The sequence below is a fragment of the Homo sapiens genome, chromosome 11 (genome assembly GCF_000001405.40).
Source record: "Homo sapiens chromosome 11, GRCh38.p14 Primary Assembly".
In the NCBI taxonomy this organism is placed as follows: Eukaryota; Metazoa; Chordata; class Mammalia; order Primates; family Hominidae; genus Homo; species Homo sapiens.
The window spans coordinates 94,346,634-94,357,046 of record NC_000011.10 but is presented as its reverse complement, the minus strand read 5'-3'; the positions used below and the strand labels follow the sequence as shown (position 1 = coordinate 94,357,046).

Below are 10,413 nucleotides of genomic sequence, written 5' to 3'. Positions count from 1 at the left end.
GACTAAAATGTCAGTCTCCCCTGGAAACACTCTCCCAAGCATACCCGAGATAATACTTTACCAGCCATCTAGCCTCCCCTCAATCAAGCTGACACCGAATATTAACCATCACACATTGTATAGTTACTCTCCCTACCAACTCCAGTTTTCATACTGTACTCTTTGGAAGGAAGTCACTATGTGCAGCCTACACTTAAGGAGTGGAGTTATGCTCCACCTTCTTGAAGGTGAAGTAGCTACATAAATTATTTGGAATTCTACTACACAGCAGATTTGTCTCTTCTCCCATTTATTTATTCAATCATTTTTTATATCAGTATAGATTCGTGGATATATATCTGTGGGTTATAATTCAATACTACTTAATTTTGCTAATTTTGTTCCAGTTTTGGCTGTGAGGAGCTCCTTTAGTTAGCTCCTGTATCTGTTGACATGCTTCCATCAATGTGGGTTTTGTTTTTTGTTTTGGGGAGTTTTTCAGTACTTTCTTGAGCTATGGGATGCTCCAGGCTTATCTTGTATATTTCCTGCTCTTGTCCTAAAATCAGCTATTTCCCCAAGAAGACTGGTTTCTTTTGTTGGAAAATGACTTTTGAAATCAAGATCTGGGTGCTGAATGTGTACATTGCTACTGGGGTGTCATTACTTCTAGGACCTCTCAGCTGGTAGAGCAAGGAAATATATGTGTATATATTCTGTGTATGCATAAGTAACCATCAATATATATATTAAGTTAATTATGAGCTCATATTGACGTCTTCAACTCTACACCATTGGCAATGGATCATTCTAACCTCCTCTAAACTCCCACTCTGACAGTGAGAAACCTGGCTCACATCATCTGCCATCCATTTACTTAATTGTTCACTTCCAATATACATCTACAGCAATAGCAGAATTGTTAACGCATACGCCTGTGAGAAACAACTTTATAACTAGAGTACTATGCATATGTGCAGTTCTTTTTGCCTTTAGTCTTACAGGTTCCATTTCCAAAATTACTTTTGTAAAGTTATAATTTCCAAATTCAGCAACTTTATCATCTATCCCCTTCAGTGATATTGTTTTAAATAATTATAATACAGTTAGATTCTTTTGTTCTATCTACATTCTATCCCGAGATCCATCCAGGGATCTCTTGACCTCCTAAAATGTTTTAAATTTGTATACATTAGCGTTTGTTTTGTAAAGCTTCATGGGCTTTGACAAATGCATAGTGTCTTATGTTCACAATTATAGTATCACAAAAATAGTTTCACTACCCTAAAAGATATTCCTGTGCTTTATCTATTCAACACTCACCTTACTCCTCCACTCTGAACCCCTAGCAACCGCTGATCTATTTACTATCACTATAGTTTTGTCTTTTCCAGAATGTTATGTAGTTACAATAATACAGTATATAGCTTTGTTAAACTGGCTTCCTTCACTTAACAATATGCATTTGAGATTCATCTGTCATCGTGGGTTGACGTCTCATTCCTTTTTTTTCTTTTTATTGAATAGTATTTTTCATGCGTGTCTGTGTGAAGAGACCACCAAACAGGCTTTGTGTGAGCAATAAGGCTTTTAATCACCTGGGTGCAGGCAGGCTGAATCTGAAAAGAGAGTCAGCGAAGGGAGATAGGGGTGGGGCCGTTTTATAGGATTTGGGTAGGTAAAGGAAAAAGGGGGGTTGTTTTCTGGCGGGCAGGAATGGGGGTCACAAAGTGCTCAGTAGGGGAGCTTTTGAGCCAGGATGAGCCAGGAGAAGGAATTTCACAAGATAATGCCATCAGTTAAGGCAGGAACAGGCCATTTTCATATCTTTTGTGGTGGAATGTCATCAGTTAAGGCAGGAACCATCTGGATGTGTACGTGCAGGTCACAGGGGATATGATGGCTTAGCTTGAGCTCAGAGGCCTGACATTCCTGTCTTCTTATATTAATAAGAAAAATAAAACGAAATAGTGGTAAAGTGTTGGGACAGTGAAAATTATGGGGGATGGTATGGAGAGATAATGGGCGATGTTTCTCAGGGCTGCTTCAAGCGGGATTAGGGGCGGCGTGGGAACCTAGAGTGGGAGAGATTAAGCTGAAGGAAGATTTTGTGGTAAGGGGTGATATTGTGGGACTGTTAGAAGAAACATTTGTGATTTAGATTTATTGGTGATGGCCTGGATACAGTTTTGTATGAATTGAAAAACTAAATGGAATAAGAGAAGGAGAAAAACAGGTATTAAAGGTCTAAGAATTGGGAGGACCTAGGACATCTAATTAGAGAGTGCCTAAAGAGATTCAGCATAGTCCTGCCAGCAAAGATTATTTATTTACTTCAAGAGTTTAGAGTGGCAGTTTGGGGATAGCACCAGGAGATATCAGCTGTGATGGCTTGGAGAAACAGTGTAAACCAGCAGTGTAAACAAGAGCAGGGCATGTATGAGTAGTTGAGAATGGTGAATACGAGTATGATGAGACAGAAGATAGTAGGGATGACAAGTTTTTTGGGGCACAGTCTAAGTTGGTCTGGTGTCTGCAATGGGACTGTGGCTTAATAAAAAGTAGTGTCCATACAGGAGCTCAAATGGGCTGTACCCTGTAGCATTCCAAGGACAGGCCTGAATTCTGAGAAAAGAAAGAGGTAAAAGTATTGTCCAGTCCTTTTTAAGTTGGTGGCTGAGCTTGGTGAGGTGTGTTTTTAAAAGACCATTAGTCCGTTCTACCTTTCCTGAAGACTGAGGACTGTAAGGGATATAAAGGTTTCACTGAATACCAAGAGCCTGAAAAACTGCTTGGCTGATTTGACTAATAAAGGCTGGTCTGTTATCAGACTGTATAGAGGTGGGAAGGCTAAACTGAGGAATTATGTCTGATAGAAGGGAAGAAATGACTGTGGTGGCCTTCTCAGATCCTGCAGGAAAGGCCTCTACCCATCCAGTGAAAGTGTCTACCTACACTAAGAGGTATTTTAGTTATCTGACTTGGGGCACGTTGAGTAAAGCTAATTTGCCAGTCCTTGGTGGGGGCTAATCCTGGAGCTTGATGTGTAGGGAAGGGAGGGGTCCTGAATAATCCCTGAGGAGTAGTAGAATAGCAGATGGAACACTGAGAAGTTATTTCCTTGAGGATGGATTTCCATGATGGAAAGGAAATGAGAGGTTCTAAGAGGCGGGCTAGTGGCTTGTACTATAGCATAGCCTGCCTTTGCTGGTGTGTGGCGATTAGGCCTGGTGGAACTGCCATCAATAAACCAAGTGTGATCAGGGTGAGAAACAGGGAAGAAGGAAATGTGGGGAAATGGGATGAACATCAGGTGGATCAGAGAGATGCAGTCATGAGAGTCAGGTGTGGTAACAGGAATAATGTGGGAGGCCAGATTGAAGTCCGGGCCAGGAACAATGGTAATTGTGGGAGACTCAACAAAGAGTGAGTACAGCTGAAGGAGCCGGGGAGCAGAAGGTATATGCATCAGTGTGAGGAAGAAAATAGATTTTGGAAATTATGAGAGATGTAGAGAGTGAGTTGAGCATAGTTTGTGATTTTAAGGGCCTCTAAAAGTATTAGAGCGACAGCAGCCGCTGCATGGAGACATGATGGCCAGCCTAAAATAGTAAGGTCAAGTTGTTTGGACAAAAAGGCTACAGGATGCAATCCCAGTCCTTGTGTAAGAATTCTGACTGCACTGCCCTGCACTTCGGCTGTGTGTAATGAAAAGGGTTGGGATGAGTCAGGGAGAGCTAGGGTGGGGGCAGTCTTTAAAGCTGTCTTCAAGGAATGGAAAGAGGAATGGGGAAAGGATTTAGGATCTATGGGGTCAGCTAGGTTTCCTTTTGTGAGTTTATATAATGGTTTTGTTAGGATGGCAAAACTAGGTATCTAAAGGCGAAAGTATCTAACCATGCCCAGGAAGGAAAGGAGCTGTTGTTTTGTAAGGGATTGAGGTTTGGGAGATTAGTCAGACATGATGAGAAGGGAGAGCACGTGTGTTTTTATGAGAATTATGCCGAGATAGATAACAGATGAGGATGAAATTTGGGCTTGACTGAAGTAATGGGGGCTGTCTGTGAAGCCTTGCAGCAGTACAGCCTAGGTAATTTGCTGAGCCTGTTGGGTGTCAGCGTCAGTCTAAGTGAAAGCGAAGAGAGGCTGGGATGAAGGGTGCAAAGGGATTGAGATCCAGAACAGAATAATGGGTTGTGGAGGGAGGTATTGAGGATAGGAGAGTATATGGGTTTGGCACCATGGGGTGGATAGGCAAAACAATTTGGTTGATAAGGCTCAGATCCTGAACTAACCTGTAAGCCTTGTCTGGTTCTAGGACAGGTAAAATGGGGGAATTGTAAGGAGAGTTTATAGGCTTTAAAAGGCCATGCTGTAGCAGGCAAGTGATAACAGGCTTTAACCTTTTTAAAGAGTGCTGCAGGATGGGATATTGGCATTGAGCAGGGTAAAGGTGATTAGGTTTTACTGAGATGGTAAGGGGTGCATGATCGGTTGCCAAGGAGGGAGTAGAGGTATCTTATACTTGTGGATTAAGGTGGGGGGATATAAGAGGTGGACGCAAAGGAGGCTTTGGATTGGGAAGAAGGGCGGCAATGAGATGTAGCTGTAGTCCAGGGATAGTCAGGGAAGCAGATAATTTAAAGTGTCTTGGCCTAATAAGGGAACTGGGCAGGTGGGGATAACTAAAAAAAGAGCTCTTAAAAGAGTATTGTCTAAATTGGCACCAGAGTTGGGGAGTTTTAAGAGGTTTAGAAGCCTGTCAGTACCCACAACAGTTATGGAAGCAAGGGAAACAGACCCTTGAAAAGAAGGTAATGTGGAGTGTGTATCCTCCATAATGATTAAGAACGGGACGGACTACCCTCCACTGTGAGAGTTACCTAAAGCTCGGTGTCTGTGATGGTCTACTGGGCTTCCAAGGTGATCGGACAGCATCAGTCTTCAGCTGCTAAGCCGAGAACATCTGGGAAGGGGTCAGTCAGAGAGCCTTGGGCCAGAGTTCCAGGGGCTCTGGGAGTGGCTGCCAGGTGAGCTGAACAGTCTGATTTCCAGTAGGGTCCCACACAGATGGGACACAGCTTAGGAGGAATCCTGGGCTGCGGGCATTCCTTGGCCTGGTGGCCAGATTTCTGGCACTTGTAGCAAGCTCCTGGGGGAGGCGGTTCTGGAGGAATGCCTGGCCACTGCAGTTTAGGCGTTTGGAAGTTCTTGTGTGCTGGAGACGTGGCTGGGGTTTGTCTCACAGTGGAGGCAAGGAATTGCAACTCCAAAATATGTTGCTACTTGGCTGCCTCTACTCTATTATTGTACACCTTAAAGGTGAGGTGAATTAAGTCCTGTTGTGGGGTTTGAGGGCTGGAATTTAATTTTTGGAGTTTTATTTAATGTCGGGAGCAGATTGGGTAATAAAATGTATATTGAGAATAAGACGGCCTTTTGACCTTTTAGGGTCCAGGGCTGTAAAGCGTCTCAGGGTTGCTGCCAAACGAGCCATGAACTGGGCTGGGTTTTTTATATTTGATGAAAAAGAGCCTAAACGCTATCTGATTTGGGATAAAGAAAAAGGAGCATTAACCTTGACTATGCCTTTAGCTTCAGCCACCTTTTTAAGAGTAAATTGCTGGGCAGGTGGGGGAGGGCTAGTCACTTTCATGTGTGTCCCTGTGAAGAGACCACAGGCTTTGTGTGAGCAATAAAGCTTTTAGTCACCTGGATGCAGGCGGGCTGAGTCCAAAGAGAGAGTCAGCAAAGGGAGATAAGGGTAGGGCCATTTTATAGGATTTGGGTAGATAAAGGAAAATTACAGTCAAAGGGGAGTTGTTCTCTGGCGGGCAGAGTGGGGGTCACAAGGTACTCAGTGGGGGAGTTTTTGAGCCAGGATGAGCCAGGAGAAGGAATTTCACAAGACAATGTCATCGGTTAAGGCAGGAACAGGCCATTTTCACTTCTTTTGTGGTGGAATGTCATCAGTTAAGGCAGGAATAGGCCATCTGGTGGTCTACATGCAGGTCACAGGGGATATGATGGCTTAACTTGGGCTCAGAAGCCTGACATTCCTGTCTTATATTAATAAGAAAAATAAAACGAAATAGTGGTAAAGTGTTGGGACGGTGAAAATTTTTGGGGGTGGTATGGAGAGATAATGGGCGATGTTTCTCAGGGCTGCTTTGAGCGGGATTAGGGGCGGCGTGGGAACCTAGAATTGGAGAGATTAAGCTGAAGGAAGATTCTGTGGTAAGGGGTGATATTGTGGGACTGTTAGAAGAAACATTCGTCATTTAGAATTATTAGTGATGGCCTGGATACGGTTTTGTATGAATTGAAAAACTAAATGGAATAAGAGAAGGAGAAAAACAGGTATAAAAGGTCTAAGAGTTGGGAGGACCGAGGACATCTGATTAGAGAGTGCCTAAGGAGATTCAGCATAGTCCTGCCAGCAAAGATTATTTATTTACTTCAAGAGTTTAGAGTGGCAGTTTGGGGATAGCACCAGGAGATATCAGCTGTGATGGCTTGGAAAAACAGTGTAAACCGGCAGTGTAAACAAGAGCAGGGCATGTATGAGTAGTTGAGAATGGTGAATAGGAGTATGACTAGACAGAAGATAGTAGGGATGACAAGTTTTTTTGGGGGCACAGTCTAAGTTGGTCTGGTGTCTGGAATGAGACTGGGGCCTAATAAAAAGGAGCATCTATACAGGAGCTCAAATGGGCTGTACCTTGTAGCATTCTGAGGACAGGTCTGACTTCTGAGAAGGAAAAGTGGTAAAAGTATTGTCCCGTCCTTTTTAAGTTGGTGGCTGAGCTTGGTGAGGTGTGTTTTTAAAAGACCTTTAGTCCGTTCTACTTTTCTTGAAGACGGAGGACTGTAAGGGATATAAAGGTTTCACTGAATACTAAGAGCCTGAAAAACTGCTTGGCTGATTTGAGTAATAAAGGCTGGTCTGTTATCAGACTGTATAGAGGTGGGAACGCTAAACTGAGGAATTATGTCTGATAGAAGGGAAGAAATGACTGTGGTGGCCTTCTCAGACCCTGTAGGAAAGGCCTCTACCTATCCAGTGAAACTGTCTACCTAGACTAAGAGGTATTTTAGTTATCTGACTCGGGGCTTGTTGAGTAAAGCTAATTTGCCAGTCGTGGGTGGGGGCAAATCCTCGAGCTTGATGTGTAGGGAAGGGAGGGGTCCTGAATAATCCCTGAGGAGTAGTAGAACAGCAGATGGAACACTGAGAAGTTATTTCCTTGAGGATAGATTTCCACGATGGAAAGGAAATGAGAGGTTCTAAGAGGCGGGCTAGTGGCTTGTACTATAGCATAGCCTGCCTTTGCTGGTGTGTGGCGATTAGGCCTGGTGGAACTGCCATCAATAAATCAAGCATGATCAGGGCGAGGAATAGGGAAGAAGGAAATATGGGGAAATGGGGTGAATGTCAGATGGATCAGAGAGATACAGTCATGGGGGTCAGGTGTGGTATCAGGAATAATGTGGGAGGCCGGATTGAAGTCCGGGCCAGGAACAATGGTAATTGTGGGACTTAACAAAGAATGAGTACAGCTGAAGGAGCCGGGGAGCAGAAAGTATACGCGTCAGGTATGAGAAAGAAAATAGATTTCGAAAGTTATGAGAAATGCAGAGAATGAGTTGAGCAGTTTGTGATTTTAAGGGCCTCTAAAAGTATTAAAGCAGTGGCAGCCGCTGCACGCAGACATGAGGGCTAGGCTAAAAGAGTGAGGTCAAGTTGTTTGGACAGAAAGGCTACAGGGTGCGGTCCTGGCTCTTGTGTAAGAATTCTGACCACACTAACCATGCCTAGGAAGGAAAGGAGTTGTTGTTTTGTAAGGGATTGAGGTTTGGGAGATTAATTGGACATGATCAGCAGGGAGAGCACGTGTGTTTTTATGAGAATTATGCCGAGATAGGTAACAGATGAGGATGAAATTTGGGCTTGATTGAAGTAATGGGGGCTGTCTGTGAAGCCTTGCGGCAGTACAGCCTAGGTAATTTGCTGAGCCTAATGGGTGTCAGGGTCAGTCTAAGTGAAAGTGAAGAGAGGCTGGGATGAAGGGTGCAAAGGAATAGTAAAGAAAGCATGTTTTAGATCTAGAACAGAATAATGGGTTATAAAGGGAGGTACTGAGGATAGGAGAGTATATGGGTTTGGCACCATGGGGTGGAGAGGCAAAACAATTTGGTTGATAAGGCTCAGATCCTGAACTAACCTGTAAGCCTTGTCTGGTTTCAGGACAGGTAAAATGGGGGAATGGTAAGGAGCATTTATAGGCTTTAAAAGGCCATGCTGTAACAGGCGAGTGATAACAGGCTTTAATCTTTTTAAAGCGTGCTATGGGATGGGATATTGGCATTGAGCGAGGTAAGCGTGATTAGGTTTTAATGGGATGGTAAGGGGTGCATGATCGGTCACTAAGGAGGGAGTAGAGGTGTCTTATACTTGTGGGTTAAGGTGGGGAGATACAAGGGGAGGATGTGAAGGAGGCTTTGAACTGGGGGAAAAGGTGGCAATGAGGTGTGGCTGTAGCCTAGGAATAGTCAGGGAAGCAGATAATTTAGTTACAGTGTCTGGTCCTAATAAGGGAACTGGGCAGGTGGGGATAACTAAAAAGGAATGCTTAAAAGAGTATTGTCTAAGTTGGCACCAGAGTTGGGGAGTTTTAAGAGGTTTAGAAGCCTGGCCATCAATATGCACAACAGTTATGGAAGCAAGGGAAACAGGCCCTTGAAAAGAAGGTAATGTGGAGTGAGTAGCCTCTGTATTGATTAAGAAGGGGATGGACTTACTTTCTACTGTGAGAGTTACTTAGAGCATCTGTGATGGTCCTGTAGGCTTCTGAGGCAATCGGGCAGTGTCAGTCTTCAGCTGCTAAGCCAAGAAGATCTGGGAAGGAGTCAGTCAGAGAGCCTTGGGCCAGAGTTCGAGGGGCTTTGGAAGCGGCTGCCAGGTGAGTTGAACAGTCTTATTTTCAGTGGGGTCCTGCACACATGGGAGATGGCTTAGGAGGAATCCTGGGCTATGGGCATTCCTTGGCCCAGTGGCCAGATTTCTGGCACTTGTAGCAAGCTCCTGGGGGAGGAGGTTCTGGAGGAACTCCTGGCAGCTGCGGTTCAGGTGTTTGGAGTTCTTGTGTGCTGGAGATCTGGTTGGGGTTTGTCTTACAGTGGAGGAAAGGAATTGCAACTCAGAAATATGTTGTTACTTGGCTGCCTCTATTTTATTATTGTACACCTGAAGGTGAGGTTAATTAAGTCCTGTTGTGGGGTTTGAGGGATGGAATTCAATTTTTGGAGTTTTATTTAATGTTGGGAGCAGATTGGGTAATAAAATGTATATTGAGAATAAGACGGCCTTTTGACCTTTTAGGGTCTAGAGCTGTAAAGCATCTCAGGGTTGCTGACGAACGAGCCATGAACTGGGCTGGGTTTTTCATATTTGATGAAAGAGCCTAAACACTCACTGATTTGGGAGAGGTCTGATAAAGAAAAAGGAGCATTAACCTTGACTATGCCTTTAGCTTCAGCCACCTTTTTAAGAGGAAATTGCTGGGCAGGTGGGGGAGGGCTGCTCACGGAATGAAACTGTAAACTGGATTGGGTGTGAGGAGGAGAGGTGATAAAAAGATTACAGGGTGGAGGAGCAGAGGCTGAGGAAGAATTGGGACCTAGCTCGGCCTGGTGAGGCGCAGCCTGGGGAGGAGGGGAGAGGTCAGATGGGTCTGTAGAAAAGGAAGAGTAGAAAGACTTATGGATGCTTGGGGTTGGGACTGAGGGGACAGGTGGGAGGGAAAGAAGGAGGATTCGGGAGGAATCACATTGGGAACAGAGACTAGGGAGGGAACGAATTGTGAAAAATGCCTGGACATAAGGCACTTCAGACCATTTGCCTATTTTTCGACAAAAATTATTTAGGTCTTGTAGGATGGAGAAATCAAAAGTGCTGTTTTCTGGCCATTCAGAGCCATTGCCAAGTTTGCACTGGGGCCAAGCAGTGTTGCAGAAGAAAATAAGGCATTTAGGTTTTAGGTCAGGTGTGAGTTGAAGAGGTTTTAAGTTTTTGAGACACAGGCTAAGGGAGAAGAAGGAGGAACGGAGGGTGGAAGTTTCCCTATAGTGAAGGAAGCAAGCCTAGAGAAAAGAGAGAGTAGAGATATGGAGGGAAGGGGTTTGGGGGTTCTTACCCTCCAGAAAAGCAGGAAAGGGGTTGGGGTGCAGAGATATGAGGTCAGGGTGCAGAAATAAGGGATCAGGGCGCAGAGATATGAGGTAGGGGTGCAGAAATGAGGGATTGGGGAGCAGAGATATGAGGTTGGGGTACTTGTCCATCCTCTAGAGAAGTGGGACTTGCCACTTAGGGTGAAGGAGAAGGGGTTGGGGGTTTCTTGTCCCTCCCCCAGAAAAGCAGAGAAGGGGTAGATA

The 10,413-nt window shown here is 44.5% G+C and overlaps 1 annotated feature.

Moving 5' to 3' along the window:
• Window positions 5,668-6,219: an enhancer, noted in NCBI's record as "NANOG hESC enhancer chr11:94083994-94084545 (GRCh37/hg19 assembly coordinates)". NCBI's record gives its function as "activates a minimal SCP1, AML or CMV promoter by ChIP-STARR-seq in naive H9 embryonic stem cells {active_cell/tissue: H9 hESC(naive)}" and the evidence as "EXISTENCE:reporter gene assay evidence [ECO:0000049][PMID:30033119]".